The sequence below is a fragment of the Homo sapiens genome, chromosome 7, assembly GCF_000001405.40.
Source record: "Homo sapiens chromosome 7, GRCh38.p14 Primary Assembly".
NCBI lineage: Eukaryota > Metazoa > Chordata > Mammalia > Primates > Hominidae > Homo > Homo sapiens.
In genome coordinates this window covers 141,782,527-141,803,686 of record NC_000007.14, presented here as the reverse complement: position 1 = coordinate 141,803,686, position 21,160 = coordinate 141,782,527, and the positions used below count along the sequence as shown (strand labels likewise).

The 21,160-nt window shown below is 39.7% G+C and overlaps 1 protein-coding gene and 4 pseudogenes across 1 annotated transcript; 2 read left to right on the top strand and 3 right to left on the bottom strand.

The window, feature by feature from the left end:
• On the bottom strand, positions 59–130 carry NMTRQ-TTG2-1 (nuclear-encoded mitochondrial tRNA-Gln (TTG) 2-1; annotated as a pseudogene).
• MTND2P5 (MT-ND2 pseudogene 5) lies at positions 200–1,217 on the top strand (annotated as a pseudogene).
• MTCO1P55 (MT-CO1 pseudogene 55) lies at positions 1,628–2,372 on the top strand (annotated as a pseudogene).
• TAS2R5 (taste 2 receptor member 5) lies at positions 12,320–13,470 on the bottom strand. The gene has a single exon (NM_018980.3). It carries the CDS (start codon positions 13,323–13,325, stop codon positions 12,426–12,428), a length of 900 nt encoding a protein of 299 aa, NP_061853.1. The 5' UTR covers positions 13,326–13,470; the 3' UTR covers positions 12,320–12,425.
• On the bottom strand, positions 15,051–15,873 carry TAS2R6P (taste 2 receptor member 6, pseudogene; annotated as a pseudogene).

The window sequence follows — 21,160 nt, the reverse complement described above, 5'->3', positions numbered from 1 at the left end:
GTCTGACAAAATAATTACTTTGATAGAGTAAACAATAGAAGTTAAAATCCTGTTATTTCTAGAACTATAGGAATTGAACCTACCCCTGAGAATTCAACATTCTCCATGCTACCTACTACACCACGTCCTAAACTAAGGTCAGCTATATATGCTATCGGGCCCACACTCCAAAAATGTTGGTTATATCTTTTCTGTACTAATTAATCCATTAGCTCAGCTTATTATCTCACTATTTTCACAGGAACTCTTATCACAATGCTAGCTTCACACCGATTTCTCATCCGAACAGGCCTAGAAATAAACATACTAGCTCCTACCCCAATCTTAATTTAAAAAATAAATCTCTGCTCTACAGAAGCAGCCACCAAATATTTCCTTACACAAGCAACCACATCTATAATTCTCATAATAGGTATCCTTTCCAATAACCTGGCCTCCGGACAGTGGACAATAAACACTATTCATCAATCTTCATCCTTAATAATAATAACGGCACTAGTAATAAAACTAGGAATAGCCCGCTTTCACTTCTGAGTCCCAGAAGTAACTCAAGGAACATCTCTGATGTCTGGCATACTTCTCCTCACATGACAAAAACTAGCCCCTATCTCAATCATGTATCAAATTTTCCCATCAATAAACACGAACATCCTTCTATCTGTCACATTCCTATCCATTATAGTAGGCGGCTGAGAAGGACTTAATCAAACACAACTGCATAAAATCATAGCCTACTCCTCAATTACTCACCTAAGTTGAATAGTAGAAGTAATAATTTGTAACCCAAACATTACCATTCTAAACCTGATTATTTAACAACTACCACATTTCTAGCACCCAACCTGAGTATAAGCACAACCCTGTCACTATCTCACACCTGAAACAAATTAACATATTTAACACCTGTAATTCCACTAATTTTACTATCCCTAGGAGGCTTACCCCTATTAACAGGATTTCTGCTTAAAGGAACCATCATTCAAGAATTTACAAAAAACAATAGTCTTATTACCCCTACCATTATAGCTATCATAACCCTACTCAACCTGTACTTTTACACAGGCCTAATTTATTCCATCTCAGTAGCAATATTCCCCACATCTAATAATATGAAAATAAAATGACAATTCGAAAATACAAAAACCATATTTCTCTCCCCCCTACTTATCATCTTTTCTACCCTCCTTTTACCTATCTCTCCACTGATACTGACTATAACGTAGAAATTTAGGTTACATAAGACCAAGGACCTTCAAAGCCCTTAGTAAGTAAATTGTATTTAACTTCTGTAACTGACCTAAGGACTGCCAGACTCTATTCTGCATCAGTTGAATGCAAATCAACCACTTTAACTAAGCTAAACCCTTGCTAGATTGGTGGAATTCAAACCCACGAAAATTTAGTTAACAGCTAAACACCCTAATCAACTGGCTTCAATCTACTTCTCCCGCCATTGCGAGCAGAAAGGCTGGAGAAGCCCCCCTCCCCTGGCAGGATTGAAGCTGCTCCTTCGAATTTGCAATTCAACGTGACAAATCACCTCCGGGCTGGTAAAAAGAGGCCTTGACCTCTGTCTTTAGATTTACAGTCTAATGCTTACTCAGCCATTTTACCTTTTTTTCCACTTATGTTCATCAATCGTTGATTGTTTTCAACTAACCATAAAGATACCGGAACATTCTACCTGCTATTGGGCGCATGAGCGGGGATTAGTGGGCACCGCCCTAAGCCTTCTCATTGGAGCAGAATTAGGCCAATCAGGAACTCTGCTAGGAGATGATCAGATGTAGAACGTTATTGTTACCGTCCACGCACTCATCATAATCTTTATGGTAATACCAATGATAACTGGGGGTTTGGCAACTGACTAGTCCCTCTGATAATTGGTGCACCCGATATGGTATGCCCCGGGATAAAAAATATAAGCTTCTGACTTCTCCCCTCCTCCCCTTTCCTACTCCTACTTGCATCATCAATAGCAGAAGACGGCGCGGGACCAGCTGAACAATAATACCCCGCCTTTAGCAGGAAGCCTAATAAATGCGGGAGCGTCTGTGCATCTAACCATTTTGTCAATCCACCTAGCAGGTGTTTCTTCTATTTTAGGGGCCATTAATTTTATTACCACAATTATCGGTATAAAACCCCGAGCCATATCCCAGTATCAAAGCACCCCTTTTCGTGTGATCAGTCCTCATTACGGCAATCCTTCTACTCCTTTCTCTCCCAGTCCTAGCCGCCAGCATTACCATACTATTAACTGACTGTAACCTCAACACTACTGTTTTTTGATCCTGCTGGTGGGGTTGACCCTATCTTATATCAACGTTTATTCTGATTCTTTGGTCACAAAGAATCAACAACCTTGTATTACTTGAGAAAATCCCACCTGTTTGCAGTATATGTTGCTGGATTCAGTTTGCTAGTATTCTGTTGAGGATTTTTGCATCTATATTCATAGGAGATATTGGTCTGTATTGCAATGTCTCTGGTTTTGTTATCAAGGTAAAACTGGCCTCATTGAATGAGTTGGAAAGCCTTCCTTCCTTTTGTATTTTTTGGAGGAGTTTACCAAAAATTGGTATTAATCCTGTAAATGTTTGGTGGAATTGACCAGTGAAGCCATCTGGTCCTGGACTTTTCTTTGAAGGAAATTTTTGTCTTTTAAATTAAAAATCCAGTATATTTTTGTAGGTCTATTCAGAACTTCTATTTCTTTTTGATTCAATTTTGGTAGTCTGTGAATCATATGGCTTTTATTCTTTATTATGTTGCTGGAGCAAATGGTGTTTATGTAGTCTTAATGGTAAGCTATCCCTGCTTTCCTGGGATAAACAAATTCATCATAATGTCTAATTGTTTCTACTAACTCTTGAATTCTGGTTTTAAATAATTTCATAACTTTTATTTTAAACATTTACTTCTATATTTATATGTTAAGTGGGCCTGTGCTTTTCATTTTTTGTTTATTTCTGTCTGGTTTTGGCATCAAAGTTATATTGACCTCAGAGTAAAGCTTAAAGAGTATCTGCCCTTTTTATTCCTATTCTCTGGAAGTGTTTGTTTAATATTAAGTTACAGTTTGGTAAAATTTCCATGCAAAAATACCTAAGCTTGTTTTCTATGTGAAAATATTTTAACTACTACTGTTTCAATTTATTAAATTAAATAAGTAGCCAGATTCTTATTCCTAAATCAGTGTTGGTAAATTGTATTTTTCTAGAAATTTTCAATTTCATCTAAGTTTTCAAATTTACTGAAGCAAAGTTATGTATAGTATTTTTTAAATATTTTAATATTTTCTATCTGTAGCTAAGGACATTCTGCATTCATATTATTTAGCATCTCTCTTTTATTCCTGATTTATTTTATCAGTGGTTTCTTAGTCTGCTCAGGATGCCATAACAAAATACCATGAACTGGGTAGCTTATAAACAACATAAATATATTTCTCACCGTTTTAGATGCTGCAAAGTCCAAGATCGAGGCACCAGCAGATTCGTCTGATGAGGGCCCACTTCCTTGTGGATAGACAGCTATCTTTTCCCAAAGGGCAAAGGAGCTCTCTAGGGTCTCTTTTACAAGGGCACTGTATTAGTCTGTTTTCACACTGCTGATAAAGACATACTCAAGACTAGGCAATTTACAAAAGAAAGAGGTTTAATTGGACTTACAGTTCCACGTGGCTGGGGAAGCCTCACAATCAAGGTGGAAGGCAAGGAAGAGCAAGTCACATAGTACCTGGATGGCAGCAGGCAAAGAGAGGAGCACTTGTGCAGTGAAACTCCCCTTTTTATAACCATCAGATCTCATGAGACTTATTCACTATCACGAGAACAGCATGGGAAAGACCTGTTCCCATGATTCAATTACCTCCCACTCATAACACGTGGGAATTCAAGATGCGATTTGGGTGGGGACACAGCTAAACCATATCAGGCACTAATCCCGTTCATGAAGGCTCTACCCTCAGGACCTGACAGCATCCCCAAAATCCCACCTCTAAATACCATCACATTGAGGATTAGGTTTCAATATACAAATTTTGGGGGGACACAAACATTCAGCCTATACCAAATGAGTTTTTTTTCTACTTTATTACTCTTTTCAAAGAACAAACTTTTGGTTTTTTCATATATATCAGTCAGAAAAACAACACACTTGAAGAAATAAATGAAAATTTCATAAATAATTTGTGAGTGCTTGGGAAGGATTAAAGGAATCAAAATCATTTGAAATTTTATTTATATTTCCCATTTATTTCTTCCATATCTTTATTATCTTGTTCCCTCTAGTCCTTAGTCCAAGGCCATTGAAAATTAACTTTTCAGTTTGAAATTTTGCAGATCACCCATGTTCTGCCTTGAACCCACAATTTATTTTATCAGTCCTATTCAGTTTAGCATTTAGAATGCTTCCAATTTTTCAGTTTTATAAATAACTGTGTGATGAACATCTTTGTAAAAGCAACTTTACATAGATCTTTAATAGAAATATATTTACAAAGCATAATTGCTATATCAAGATATATACGTGTGTTAAAATATGCTGCCAAATTATCCCTCAGAATATTATACCAATTAACGCATCCATCTTCAATGCATAAGAATATCCTTTCCCTGTATTCTCGTAAAACCATTATCTTTCATTTTTTAATCTTTGCTACCTGGATAAACACAAATGGTATTACAAAAAATAACTTTTTTATGACTAGTGAGAAATAACAATGTGTTTATAAACCATTTATATTGATTCATTTTTTTAATTGCCTCCAAAGCCTTTCTCATTTTTCTGTTGGAATGTTATGGTTCTTTTTAATAATTTTGTAACAATTAATAACTCCTTCTGGTTATATATGCTTAGCTGCAATTTTTTCCTCCATTTATCCATTGCTATGTAAATTTATATGCATGTTGCTTGTGACATAAAGTTTTAATTTTTTATGTGATCATATATGTTAATAATTTTTGGATGATTCTTGTCCTTGATAGCATAATTAGAAATTTCTTTCATACCCCAATAATTTATTCATCTATATTTTCTTTGAGCTTTTATGGTTTCATTGCTTACACTTTATTGTTTCCTTCAAATTTAGTAAAGATAATGTGAAGTAAAAATCTATATCTTACTATATCCTAAATGGTTAGCCACTTGTTTCAGCAGCATTTATTGAATAATCCTTTTTGAAAAGAAGACCACATGTATCACCTGCTAAATTTACATATTTATCTGGTGTTTCAATTCTATTTTCTTTATCTTTTAATTATTCTTTGCAAGTGCAAATATTTAAAATTATTTCTTCTAGGCCGGGCACGGTGGCTCAGGCCTGTAATCCCAGCACTTTGGGAGGCCAAGGCGGGTGGATCACGAGGTCAGGAGATCGAGACCATCCTGGCTAACATGTTGAAACCCCGTCTCTACTAAAAATACAAAAAAAAAAAAAAATTAGCCGGGCGCGGTGGCAGGCGCCTGTAGTCCCAGCTACTCTGGAGGCTGAGGCAGGAGAATGGCGTGAACCCGGGAGGCGGAGCTTGCAGTGAGCCGAGATAGCGCCACTGCACTCTAGCCTGGGCGAAAGAGCAAGACTCCGTCTCAAAAAAAAAAAATTATTTCTTGAAAATCCTGTCATTTCTGACAATATGAATGGACCTGAGGACATTATGCTAAGTGAAATAAGCCAAGCACAGAAAGACAAACACCTAATGATCTCACTTACATGTGGAATCTAAAACAATCAAACTCATAGAAGCAGAGTGTAGGATGATAGTTACCAGAGGCTGGGGGCGGGGTGGACGGAATCAGGAGATGTTGATCAAAGAGTAGATTGTTGCAGTTAAGTTACACAAGTGGAATAAATAAGTATTTAAGGTGATAGATATATTAATTAGCTTGATTCAATCATTCCACACTGTTTATATATAACATCACTATCACTGTGTACCCCATAATTTACATTATTATAATTTGTCAAAAGTAAAAATTATTTTTCCTAAATAGTAGTATGATAATAATATTAAGGATAAAAAATTACATCCATTATTATATACCGGGTACTCTTGTAAGCCCTTTACATCTATTAATTCATTTAATCTTCATGACAACCTATGAGGTATATACAGGCCTTCCTTCATAAAGTGATATATATGTTCTTGTAAAACTTTAAATTCTGCAAAATCATACACAAAATATGAGTGTATTTGGGGGTAGGACAGAATAAGGTTGGAAAAGACTATTGAAAACCGATGTAACTTTGTAACTAGAGCACTAACTGAAATAAAAAGAACCCTAATAAAAATCCTAGGATGATATATCTCTATAGCCTTTGCACTCAACATCTGTCAATCAATCATTCACAGCCTTTATACTGGAGCTTATTATAGATCTTTGAGGGAATTAATTTTTAGAGATTAATTTCACTACAATTAAAAATCTGAACCAGTGTAGGATGACTATAGTTAACAATAAGGTATTACATTGTTTCACATAGCTAGGAGGATATTGAATGTTCCCAACACAAAGAAATAATAAATGTTTGAGATGACAGATGTGCTCATTCCCCTGATGTGATCACAATACATTATGTGTATCAAAACATCACTAAGTACCCCATGAATATATACAATTACTATTTGTCAACTAAAAAAGGTAAAATTTAAAATCTGAACCAGAGTACAACTGTATCTATCAGTACACTTTTTAAAACACAGGAGGAATGTTTTTACTGCTGTTTAATCTTCACTCAGTTTCACCAAAAACTCAACAGATGTGTAGAATGTGGAAGTCCTTGAAGCCACTCCAGTAGCTTCCACTAAGGGAGATCACTGCAGCAATGTTTTCAGCTTCTTTCTTAAGATGCTCATCTATTGCTAAGGCCTTCTCTTTAATTGGGAGAAAGTTTACTCTGTTTCTTTTTTTTTTCTTTTTGAGATGGAGTCTCGTTCTATCGCCCAGGCTGGAGTGCAGTGGTGCAATCTCGGCTCACTGCAAGCTCCACCTCCTGGGTTCACGCCATTCTCCTGCCTCAGCCTCCCGAGTAGCTGGGACTACAGGTGCCTGCCACCACGCCCAGCTAATTTTTTTGTATTTTTAGTAGAGACGGGGTTTCACCGTGTTAGCCAGGATGGTCTCGATCTCCTGACCTCGTGGTCCTCCTGCCCCGGCCTCCCAAAGTGCTGGGATTACAGGCGTGAGCCACCGCACCCAGCCCCCTGTTTGTTTCTTTTGTATTCAATTGAAATGCTTAATTTTTCCTGTTTTCTTCACTGCATTCTAACAAATTCTGATGCACTGGCAGTTATTTGTGCTACTTTTTTTCCCTCCAGAGTCATCTCCAATTCTATGCCACATTGACTCCTTTAATTCATTTGTGAGTATTGACATCACAATCTCTCCAAATCCTTTAGTTTCAAGATTTTCTTTGATTGTTCAAATATTTCAGAATTTGCTCACTAACCTTATGATAATCAACCACTGAGCCTTCACTGACATTTTTAGAATTAACTCTCCATTTATAATTAATATAAAATATGTTCCTAGCCAGAAAAATATTTCTAAACTTTTCTTCTTGGTGTTACTTGAAAATAACAAAATATTTACTAGAATAAAATGTCATGAAAAATCTTGTTCTGTATTCTCCTGAGAAATGTCAATCTGATTCTTGATCTGTTCTTTCAAAATTTTGTAAAATTGCCTGTCTTCGATATTCTTAAATCTCTACAATGTGTTTAAGTGTGACGAATTCCTCCCACTTTATCTGTCTTCTTTGACACCCCTTGAGCCCTTTTAGTCTTTTTTCATCGTTAATGCAATTCTTGGTCATTAATTCTTCAAATATTTCATTCCTTGTGCTTATTTTTTCCATCTCCTTCTGGGGCTCCAATCACACCTATGAGTGTCCTTTTATTTCTGTGTGCCATATTGCTTTGCTTTTAAATTTCCCATCACTTTATTACTTTGCCATATCTCCTGCGAGAGTTCTAGAGCTGGCCTTCCAGTGCATCAATTCCACACCAGGAGCTGTACCCATTCTGCTGCTTAATTCAATGGTGGAATAATTTATTTCACCTAATTTAAAAGTGCATATTTCAGAAGCCAAAGGGAAACCAGGCTTTTCCTCACCCCAGGGCCTGTCAGCTAGGTTAGGCCTGTGATCTAGAATCAGCCAGCCAAAAATCCCACCCAGGATGGCTCGAAGAGACACAGTCTCAGAGGCAGTGGCAGTGTCAAGAACACAATGTTAACAGCTGAACAGGAGAGGTGGTGCCAGCATCAGTCCCTGTAGTGTGACTTGATTGTGTTCTTGTTTATTTAACCCCTCTTGGTTCCCATTCTGAGGTTGACTCTCCAGCCTTCTCCCTGGTTCTATAATCTAGCCAATTTCCTTTTGATAAGTGTACTTTCTCCTGAAGTCATATGAAGTTGTTTATAACTGATACCACAGGTGACAGGAGTTGGGATATGGGAGAAGTGCAGGACTGGTGAAGCACTAATTTCTTCCTCCTACATAATCGGGACTCTGTGGATACTGTCATAAGGCATGGTTCAAAAAAGCAGTGTAGAAAATATATTACTTACAATTGTAAAAGTAATGACTGTTAGAACAACAAAATAAAACTAATCAATTTAGGAGAGGAAAATGGATTAGGGGCAAAATGAGATAATCCCCAAACCTTGATGAATGGAACTCAAAGGCTACAGTTTAAAGCTGATAAAACAAGTAAGAGAGCCAAAATCTTACCATTCAGAGTCGTAAAAAATAACCACTAAAAGAACTAACACAAGTGATAAGATACCATTATATCCAGGCAGTGGGACTAATAATAGAAGGTGGGAGGGAAAAACGTTGCTGTTCATTTTCTACCTTTCTGTCCTGTTCAAATCGTTTTTAGCCATGCTCACATATCACATTTTTAACATTTCACGTCTCCTCTCGGCTACACCACCACAGAGCATATCACATAATTAAATGTAAGGCCATTAACATCTACACACACACACACACACACACACACACGCACACATGGATCCAGCTGCAACTCTAAGAATGCAAATTATAAAAGATTCAATTACATAGGAATCAATTCAAGAGTATATATTTGCCTTCCCATTTGTTTTCTTTGCTAAAACACAAAGCAGTCTCATACGCATCATAAGGTAAATTGTGTACAGAAAAAGAAGGAAATCAAATCCCAAAAGGTGATGTGGAAAATGCAATAATTTTTCCTGCTTTATTGAGGAATGATTGACAAAAATGGTATATATCTACAGTATGCAACATGATGTTTTGACATATGTATACACTGTGAAATGAGTACCACAATCAAGTTAATATATCCACCACCTCACAATTATCTTTGTTGTTGTTGTTAGTGAAAACATTTAACATCTACTCTCTTCACAAATTTCAAGTATATAATACGGTTCTATTAACTATAGTCACTATGCTGTACATTAGCTCTCCAGAGCTTATTCATTCTTCCTAACAGACACCAAACATCTCCCTATTTCCCCCACGTCCCAGGCCCTGGCAACCACCATCCTACTCTGCTTCTGTGAGTTTGGCTTTTTGAAATTCCACACATCTGTGAGATCTTACAGTATTTGTCTTTCTGTATGTGGCTTATTTCAGTTAGCATAATGGTCCTCCTGGTTCATCCACATTTTTTCAAATGACAAGATTTCCTTCTTTTTTAAAGCTGAATAATATTCCATTGTGTGTGTGTATACATATATACACATACATATGTATACTACATTTTTTTATCTGTTCAAATGTTCAAATGTGATATTTGAGCATGGCTAAAAACAATTTGAACAGTACAGAAAAGTAGAAAATGAAACAGATACACATACATGCATACACTACATTTTCCTTATCTGTTCATGTGTTGATGGACACTTAGGTTGATTCCATACCTTGTCACTAAGAAAAGCAGATCATAAACTTTGATCTGTTGTGATTTTGGATCTTAGCACCCAGGCATCCCATCAATACCAAATTTGAAAGATTAGTTGCTTATTGCATGTGTGTAAAAATACTCATAAACTTGAGGGAAGTTCCACAGGCTAATCCTAGTTTGAAGTCTTACAAGTATGAACAATGAGATACTTAGGATTTACTGGAAAGAGCACAAGACTCGGAGTCAAAAAATTTGGGTCTGCTCCATCTGCATTATTTACAAGTTCATGATCCTGGGCAAACCATCACTCCAGCCTGAGTTTTGTCACCTGTGAATTGGGGATAAAATTGGTTACTGCATAGAGTTGCTATTAAAATCAAATGAGATAATGGACTATATATGAGATTGTCTGGTAAAATGTAAAGCCCAATACAAATGTTAAATACTATTGTCACTATTACAACAATTGGTCACAAAGGACATCTGTAAAAAAAATAGAAATGGTATAATGAAAATTCATCCTACTAACAAAAATATAACCAAGCAGAAGCACCTTTCTATTTAAAAAGAATGAATATGATCCTTCCCAGGACATAAAATATGGTACTTGACCTCACACAACTCACAGTGACAGTGGAACCAATCTCCCCCTGTGTGATGACTAATATCCACATGTGCCTAGCATGTACCTCAATTCTCAGATTCAGGTAAGAAAAAGATATGTTTGAGAGAATAGATTAATGAAAGTAGATTAGTGTGATCCATAGGAAGTGAAAAAAAAATATTTAAGAATGCCAAGTGTTGTCCTTTGGATTTCAGATCCCCCTGGAACTGAAACAAAGAAGGCTAGAAAGAAGGAAGAGAATAAGTTGTGTAGAAGGGTCTGTAGAAAGAGGCATGGGGTTCCAAGGAGGGAAGGACATTAGGAAAGTAGCATGTTGTAAAGGAAAGAGCCCTGCACCAGGAGTCAAGAAACAGCTCTAGTCCCAGCACTGCCACAGGCTCTCTATGAAACCCAGGGCAGGCCACTGCCCCTCTCTGGGCATCAGTTTCTCTACCTACAATACAAAGGAGGCATTGTAAAACCAGTTAGCACAGCTATTCAGTCATTTACAAAATATTTATTAAGCGTTTATTATGCAATAGGCAGTGTTCTAGTCACAGAGACGTGGGAGAAAATAAAAACAGACACAGTTCCTACTGCCATGGATCTGGCATTCTAAATGATCTCCCTCCAACTCAAAGACCTGGCACACTAGAACTCTGACTGTAGGCTGTGGTGAGGCCACAGTAGACAGGCAAAATGGCTAAATGACTGAAGAGCAGACAGCGTGACCTCTTCAAAGGCAGTCTATTTTTTTTAAGCAGAATCAAGTGCCCCTCATTCTCATATTGCCCCACTTCAGTTCCTGGGCCTTGGAGCTTAATACAGATCATGGCATCCAACTGACTTTTATTCTGCTTTTTTTTTTTTTTTTGAGACGGCATCTCGCTCTGTTGCCCAGGCTGGAGTGCAGTGGCATGGTCTCGGCTCACTGCCATCTCCACCTCCTGGGTTCATGCCATTCTCCCGCCTCAGCCTCCCGAGTAGCTGGGACTACAGGTGCCCGCCAACACACCAGGCTAATTTTTTGTATTTTTAGTAGAGATGGGGTTTAATCATGTTAGCCAGGATGGTCTTGATCTCTTTTTTTTTTTTTTTTTGAGACGGAGTCCCGCTCTGTCGCCCAGGCCGGACTGCGGACTGCAGTGGCGCAATCTCGGCTCACTGCAAGCTCCGCTTCCCGGGTTCACGCCATTCTCCTGCCTCAGCCTCCCGAGTAGCTGGGACTACAGGCGCCCGCCACCGCGCCCGGCTAATTTGGTCTTGATCTCTTGACCTCGTGATCCGCCCGCCTCAGCCTCCCAAAGCGCTGGGATTACAGGCGTGAGCCTGATTTTTATTCTGAAAGCCAAGGCTAGGGCTCAAAGAAACTTCCAGAAATATAAAGATGTTTTGTTTTGTTTTTCAGTTAGATAATTAGATACATTACAGCAGAGAAATGGGGAAATTATTTGATACTTTTTAAAAAGCATATCTAAAATGACTAACATTAATGTATAGGTAAAATTTCATAAAAATTAATGATCACTATAATTGTTCCTAATCTCTGTTTTCTATACTAGGAAAAACACAATTTATATATGAATTTTTGCTATATGTAGACAGAATTGTTCCTAATCTCTGCTTTTTATAATAGGAAAAACACGATTTATATATGAATTATTTGCTATATGTAGAGAGAATATAATACCTCTTTTACCAAACATGAAGCCCTAGCCTTGATTTCTGTGGTACATTAAAAAAATATACTTTGCATTGCCAAAAGAGACATAGTATTGGGTTTTGATCCGTATTTTCTGTTGCTCATTCATTACATTGGTGTAAAAGAAGGAAAATCTTAAAAGACATGGAAAGCAGCTCCCTTATAGAGAGCTATCAAAAGAGCGTCCCAAGAGTGTCCTGACCACACTTTTCTTCCCAGATCATGGGCCCCAGCATCTCCGAGCACACACTGTCTTCCACAGGATCTTCTGACAAGTCTGCTTCACCCTAGGAATCCCCATGATCAATATGAGAGAATGAAGAGAAGGATAGGCTGCCATGAGTGTCTCCCAGATGAAGACACTGGTGAGATCAGGAGGATAAGTCTTGGAGGTGATGGAGAAGGGGCTGGCCATGATATAAACCAGGTGAAGTAAGAGGAAGCAGCCCAAGGACTTCAGCGCAGTGATGTGAGCCTTGGCCCGGACATCCCTCCTACCAGCTGAATGGACCTTCATCTTCTTGTGGTGTGTATACAAAGAGACAATCAGCATCCCAGAGGAAACAAGAAACACCACTAAAGGCAAATAACTTCCTGAATTGAGCTGAAATGCATACAGGTACTGCCAGCTTTCAAAGGGATACCGAATGCTGCTGTTTCCTTGGGGAGGATGATAGAATGTTAAGCCAATTTGGACTGTAAGTAACAAATTGATTATAAAGTAGCCCAGAAGGCACCAGAGACTCAGGTTATAGGCCCTCTGCTTCAGCCACAAGTAGGCCGGGCGATCGAAGGTCGTGATCTTCTTGCAATAGAAGACACTGAGGAAGGTGGCAAACCATAAGCTGGCCTGGCTTACCAGGACCCAGAAGATACTAAGATAGCGAAGCCAACGGCTGCTCTGGAAAAGTGGAAACAAGCTTAAGTCCAAAATGATCAGCCACTGCAGGAGAAATCGGCAGCCAGCCAGGCCCAGGATAATGAGGTTATATGAGGACCAGTTGAATTTTCTGATCCATTCTCTAAAACTCCAGACCACCAGGCTTCCATTTCCAATTAAACCGATGAGAAATTCAACCACTGCCACCAGCATCAGCAGTCCTAGGCCAGCGCTCAGCATGGCTGGGGAGAGGAGGCTCTCACTGCTCCTGGCTGAGGTCAGATCCCCTGGTAGTGATAACACACCAGGGTAAATTTTCACACCACAAAATCTGGATTTGGCCTCGTCCTTCCGTAATCTGTCTTCAAGCGAGACTGAACAGCTGTGATGAGGAACAGAGAGGTTGGAAGTTATGATACCATCTGTATTTGCATCTACATGAATGAACCCTGAGTGTAGAACCAGAGATTGCAAACAGTACCACAGACACCGGCTCTCCATCTCAAAGGTTTTGGGCCAAAGTCTAGACACCAGGGTATAACGTAACAAGGCCCCTCAACAAGAAAGACCAAATCAAAACATGCTCAGGTGCTATACAGTGCCAGTTATGAGCTCATATGCTATATAAAAAAAGAAATTTTATTTTCATGAAAAGAACACTGGGCCAGGCATGGTGGCTCACACCTGTAATCCCAACACTTTGAGAGGCCAAGGCGGGTGGATCACCTGAAGCCAGGAGTTCGAGACCACCCTGGCCAACATGGTGAAGCCCCATCTCTACTAAAAATACAAAAATTATCTGGGCGTGGTGGTGGCTGCCTGTAGTCCCAGCTACTCGGGAGGCTGAGGCAGGAGAACCACTTGAACCCAGGAGATGGAAGCTGCAGTGGGCCAAGATCGCGCCACTGCACTCCAGCCTGGGCGACAGAGCAAGACTCCATCTCAAAAAAAAAAAGTAAGCATGCTGAGAACTCTCTACGAAGCTGTAGGCAGGCAGGCCACTGCCCGTCTCTGGGCCTCAGTTGCTCTATTAATAACTGAATGGATTGTAGGATGAGATTTCCATTCCTTCGGACTAAATTTACAAAGTGCTTATTTTGTGTCAAACTACGGTGTACTAGGCACAGGGGACGGCGCCATTATAATACACAGTCCCTGCCTCCAGGTAGCATCCATTGTACATCATCTCCACCAAGCTGCAAGGCCTGGTACTCTAAAACTCTGGCTGTAGGCTATGGAGGGGCAGAGGTGGTCGCGATCTTCTACTGGACTAAAAATCTAGATGAGGCTTGAACTCGTCCAAAAACAGTGTTTCTTCAGTGACTTTCTGATAGAGACATAGTGCCTCTCTCTCCCCACCTGCCCCAATCTAGCCTGGCAGTGGAATTTGCCACCGATCCTGGTAGCCAACTGACACGTTTCCAGAAAGCTAGTCTGGCATCAAAAAAACCAAAGTATCCAGAAATATAAAGGTAGGTTTTTGACTACTTTACTACCGGTGTTGAGAGGCTAAACTACATAGAAAATTGAGATAATAATTTAGCTAATTCCCCTAAGAAAAGTGCTTGCCTAAAAAATATACAGGCTCACCTCTTTTTAAAATATATTATTTTCAAACTATAGCTATTTTCTACTTCCTTTTATCAAAAACATAGCATATTGGCAAAGAAAACTTGATTATCTGCAGTAATTTTTAAAAATGTGATACTTCCCATGCAAAATATGAAAACTCGGTTTTGACTTCTGTAGTTTATTAAAATGATGTGATTTGCATTGCTTAGAGAGCAATAAGCTCCAGTTTCTAGCCTGTTTTTCATGTTACCCTTTCATTTTGTTTCAAAATCAAAGAAGAAATGAGGAGAATTGAGAATAAAAATTTCATTTTTCTAAAATCTACAGTTATTTTTACTGTTGTCAGTGATACAGTTAAGGGCCTGATTAGATCCTTCTTCCAAGTCATGGCCTCTAGGATTTCCATGTACATATCATCTCCTACAGAATTCTCTGACAAGTCTGATTCCTCATAACCATTACAATAGACGGAAATGAAGTATAAACAGCCATGAGTGTTGCAGAGATGGCAAGAATGGTGAGATCAGAGGGAGATTAGAAGGTCATGGAAAAGTGTCTGGCCAAGGCAGAAACCATGTAAAGGGGGAAGTTCAGAGCGATGAGCACCTTGGTTTGAGCCTCCTCCTGACAGCTGTGTGGTCCTCCATCTTCCTGTGATGTCTTTACAAAAAGACAAGTGGAACAGAAACATCACAAATAGCAATCAGTCTCCTTCACTGGACAGCAATCTATAAAAATAACAGATTTAAAATGGGATGCAGGATGTTGCTGTTTCCTGTTAAGGGTTTTTAAAGGGTCCAGCCAACAAGAGCTGAGAAATAAAAAGTGATCTTGAAAGACACTAGCAAAAAACAAAAACCCAGTCTTTTCAGCTACAAGAAGTCAGCGGGACAAAGGTCATGATCTCCATGCAGCAGAAGCCACTGAAGAAAGTGGCAAACTACATGTTGGCCTGGCTTACCAGGACTCGAAGACATTAAGATAGTAAAGCCAACCACTGCTCTGGGAAAGTGGAAACAGACTTATGTCCAACATGATCGGCCTGAGTAGGAGAAAGTGGCTACTTACCAGAATCATGAGAATTTATAGGGACTCCTTACATTTTTTTGACCCATCCTCTAAAACTGCAGACCACAGGGACTCCATTTCCAACCAGGCCAATGAGAAATTCAGCCCCTGCAATGGGCATCAGCAATCCTAGGGCAGCCGCCAACATGGCTGGGGAGGGGAGGGTCTCTCTGCTGAATCAGGAGGTGCCCTGCTTCAGTGCTGATGAACACGTACTGCTGCTGGCTGTGTCAGAATCCCTGGGGACGGTATCAGTATTATGGCAGAGCATTTCACTTCTCACCACTCAGTTTTGTTACTGTCTGAAATCCCTTCTCTGGTAAAGATGTTACAGCTGTGACCAGAAGAAACGTTCTTGAAGGTAACGGTCCCACCGTCACTTACATCTACCTGACACTGGCCTGGGATCTGACATTAGGTACAGAGACACAATTACAGAATGGCCTTCCGAAGGAAAGAACTAAAATCCAGACAGCCTAGAGCACAGTCTCCTGAAATCCTACTTCCACCCGACCTAACTCCACAAAACCTAAGTAAGACAGTCTGAGAATTTAACAGTGGCAAATGCAAGGTACCTCATGTTATAAAAAGGGAAAGCATGGGCCGGGCGCGGTGGCTCACGCCTATAATCCCAGCACTTCGGGAGGCCGAGGCGGGTGGATCACTTGAGGTTAGAAATTCGAGACCAGCCTGGCCAACATGGTGAAACCCCATCTCTACTGAAAATACAAAAATTAGCCGGGCATGGTGGCACACACCTGTAGTCCCAGCTACTCAGGAGGCTGAGGCAGGAGAATCACTTGAACCCGAGAGGTGGAGATTGCAGTGAGCCGAGATCATGCCATTGCACTCTAGTCTGGGCAACAGAGAGAGACTCCGTCTCAAAAAAAAAAAAAAAAAAAAAAAAAGGGAAAGCATGACATTTATCAATTATTTAACCAATATTTATTAATGACTACTATGTGCCAGTCCACTGTTCCAAGCTCTTGGGATACAATGGAAAGAAACAAAGTTGCTGCTCTCATGCAGCTTATGTTCTGGTGGGTGAGGCAAATAATTAATGGTTTCAATATGTTTGAAATTTGAATATATAAACATGAGAGCCATATTTACACCTATGCAAAGGCTTACTGCAATGACAATGAAAACAAAGGGAAGGATAGGGTGAGCAAACAAGCAAAAACAAGGAGAAGACAGGATAAATATCAACTGCTGAATAATAAATTCTAGGAGAGGTGAGGCAGGAGAGAAATCTGTGAACCACGGCTGCTACTTCATCTCCACACAGAACTGTTCAGCCTATCGGCATCCACACCAAGAGCTGCAATGAAGGGGTGTATGTGGAGAGTAACAGCCTCAGTGCCATCCTCTTTACCAGAGTAACACTATGGTTTTTAATTTTGACACAACCAAAATGTGTCTGCCATAATACTACCATAATTCTTTCTACCAAAGTCTCTTGCATTCATGCTCCTATTCCCCACTGTTCTGAGCCCTCAGCTACTTTAGCAGTACCTGAACCAAGAAAAGAAAGCTGATGAAACATCAAGCGGGATGCAAGCATCCAAAGAGACGCTCATAGGGGCAAGTTATGGCTTTACACTCAGCGTCAACAGAGCAGTCTATAATAAGAATATTAAAAAGAATGAAACAAAGAACAAGCATTGGTTTCCAAAACCTGGCACTTTCCCCCAAAAAATCACCCTGTCCTGCTACCAGACTCAGTACAGTTCCATCTTCCATCCCCTATTCTACATCTCTCTTGCAAACCTGTATTCCTGTACTCAAGACTTTTTAAAATGCTTCTCAGAATTGTGCCTATATTGCCACTAGATGGCGTCAAGGCAACGCCTCTGTAGAAGCTGTTGACCTAAGTATACAAATTCCCTTAATGAGCTGAATTAGTTCAGATATTCAGAAACTGAACAGATCAAGCATGTTTTTAATAACCATGTGTAACAGGAACACAATTTATAAATGTACACAAATTCATAGTCTTGCCAGCTTCCTTCCTCACAAAATATGAGGAAGAGGAGTCTTGCTCACCAGTCATTGCGGCCTCTTTGGTGCCGCAATTTAGGCGTTCGGAGGGAGGAGGAAGCACAAACTACACCACTGAGGCTGGCTGCTGTGTGCAGCAAAGATCACAACCCCGAGGAAGAAAATGACCAGCATCGGCAACGTTATTCAGGGCAGGAAAGTGAATAGAGTAAAAGCGGGCTAGTGAGGGGACTGCAGATGAAAGAGGGGGAGTTATTTTTTTATTATTTTATTTATTTATTTATTTTGAGACGGAGTCTCGCTCTGTCGCCCAGGCTGGAGTGCAGTGGCGCGATCTCGGCTCACCTGCAAGCTCCGCCTCCCGGGTTCATGCCATTCTCCTGCCTCAGCCTCCCGAGTAGCTGGGACTACAGGTGCCCGCCACCACGCCCAGCTAAGTTTTTGTATTTTTTAGTAGAGACGGGGTTTCACGGTGTTAGCCAGGATGGTCTTGATCTCCTGACCTCGTGATCCACCCGCCTCGGCCTCCCAAAGTGCTGGGATTACAGGCTGAGCCATCGCGCCCGGCCCAGGGAGTTATTTTTGTGTGCTTTTATGAATACGAAATTTGGAGGGCTGAGAATTTTTAACTATAGCAGGCAAAATGTGGGGAACCCTCCAGGAGGTGCACATAATTTCCCTCCCTCTGAGTTTGTACTGGACATGACTTGCTCCCAAGGAACAAAGTGTGAAAATGGGGGAAAAAATAGTAACTTTACAATGTTCCTGGCAGACACCACCTTCACCGAGTGATCAAGGTTAACATCACCAGTGACCAGTGATGTTAATATCACAGAACTCCTAACGTGATGAGTAGGGCACTTTACCTCAGTCTAACAGAGAAAAATATCAGACAAACCCAAACTGAGGGACATTCTACAAAATGCCTGAATAGTAATCTTTAAAACTGGCAAGGTAATTTTAAATAGAGCTGAGAAACTGACACAGACTAGAGACACTAAATGCAACTGTACCATGGTTATGGTAAGATATAAATATTAGCAGAAACTGGGTGAGGATGATATTTGAACTCTCTATACTCATTCTGCAACTTTTCTATAAAATATTAGAAAATAAAATGAAATAAAACATTTTAAAAATTTAAATAAAACTCAGATATAATAATTACATTTTTAGCATTTAGCAATGAGAATTGTGCGTATCCAGAAGACACTGAGGTGTTCCCATAATATTGCAAAATCACGCTAAGGAAAGGGTCAAGCAGCACAGGCTACAGACGGGGCTTTCTGGGTGTCTGCCCATCCAAGGCAAAGAGTTCACATGTTCATGCTAGTACCAGCTCTCAATGGGACACAGGACTCAAGATTAGCTGTTAGATTAGCTTTCTGTTAGATAGCTTTCTGTTAGATAGCTTTCTGTTAGATAGCTTTCTGTTAGGCCTCAAGATTAGCTTTCTGTTAGATGTATTAATCAATGGGGCACTTGTGGCCATGCAGAGAAAGGCAATGTGTTTGAAGTTGGACAGATTTGGGGGTGCTCCCAACTCAACCACTTCTTGTCCTTAGACAAGCCAATTAACCCCTCTGAGCTTCAGTGTCCCCTCTATAAAATGATGATGATAATGTTACGTCACAGAGCTATCGTGATGATAAAACGAATGACCCAGCCTGTTGCTTCCCAAATAGTCTAATTACTGTTATTTTTCTTTCCTTCCCTGGTGATTTCTCTCCCTAACTACTACTTTCAATAAAGTCAGAAAGCACCTGAAGTCTGTTATTCACAGTATGCAAATCCAGGATGAACTGAGCTACTGATTCTAGACACAGGTGTCCAGTTCTGCACAATTCCAGAATGTCTGGAAAGCATGAATAAAGATGAGAGACTGATTAATCCAGACCTTTAAAACACATAGAAGTCAAAGATGTAAAGGGGTGGGTAGGAGTTAGGAGAGGTCTTTTCTGAGTAATATCAATGTTTAGCTATTTCTTCTCTTGAGGTACCTGGAGTTCAGATCATTATAACCACAGTCATTGTCCCATCTGTGAAAGCAGCAAAATTGAGACAAATAATTTTTCCATATTTAAAATAGGTCAGAAATGTTGTCAGGCCAATCAAGTATGCACCTGTGTTTAGATATCTCATTTGCAAGCTAGCTGTGCACACACTCAGTCATTTGCCCAGGGCTCCTGGCTCCTTCCTGCTGACTCAAGGCAGAGTTACAGTCACCCCATTTCCCAGACCCCATATATCCAAATAGACAACACAGAGGACAATCATACCGTGGTGAAGTGATGTTGACCTCACACCTCTGCCAGGCATGGGGAGGAGGGTGTACAGACTGCACCCCTCCTCCTGCTGTTGACCTTACCCTCATGTCTCCCCTTTCCTCTCCTCTTCTCCCACCCCCATTAACCCGTATCACTCTCTTGTTAATTTCTATGCCAGGCAAATTATTATACAAACATGGAATTTATTTTCACACTTTTTTCCTCATGGAGTAAAACTGGCCTTGGCTCTTCTCTTAGAAGGAGAAATAAATTTATACCTGTGCCTTCCCTTAGACCACAATATCCAAATCCCTAGGGAGTTTTGTCAAATTCCACTTCCCCCTTCCACTCCCACACCCAGAATGAATGAAGACACGTATATTTTAAATAGAGCTGAGAAACCCACACAGACTGTATATAAAATGTGAAAAATAAAAATTCCCAATGGACTCTGACATATTCTCACCCTCCCAGCGCTCTTTGAGAACCAGTGAACTAGAGTAGATGATCCATCTCCAGCTTTAACTTGTAAAAAAAAATTATATTATTGGAAAATTTATTTTAAATGCCTTCAGTAAGCTTCAGTTTCACCTGAAGACTGTAGCTTTTGATGCTACCTTAAAAGTTACATTCCGTTCATGCTTTAAAAGACTCCTTTCCAGTAATCTTTTCTCTTTTTTAAAAAATTGAAAATGGTTCATTAACAGAATGCAGGTAGCAATGATCAGGGAAACCTAAAGCCAGACATGTTTAGAAATGTTTAAGTGAAACTTAAGTGATATAAACAAGCTCTTAAAATCCTTGAAATTTTTAAGAATTTCATTTAGTTCTTATAGAAATTGTATCTACCTTTTCATTACATTTCTGTTGGCCTATTCCTTCCCAAGTAGCAACATTCAAAAGAAATCTAATAATTTTTTCTTCTTTAATGTTACTACTTTTTCACTTAAAAACATATCTCATATAAATCTCAAGGCCTAAAAGCCCAGAGTCTATGTGACACCATGACATTCATTTCAGCTAAGGAAACTAAGCACCCACAATAATTTCATACTTTCAGAGACTACACTGGGAGCTCTGGATCTATTCCTTCCTAGTTCTGCTATTATGAACCATTCATATGGCTTATTTGGGCCTTAATTTTCTCAACTATATAATGGAGACAAT

Bases quoted from the DNA above. Each gene is read 5' to 3' on its own strand.
- TAS2R5 (NM_018980.3), bottom strand. From the start codon at position 13,325: ATGCTGAGCGCTGGCCTAGGACTGCTGATGCTGGTGGCAGTGGTTGAA.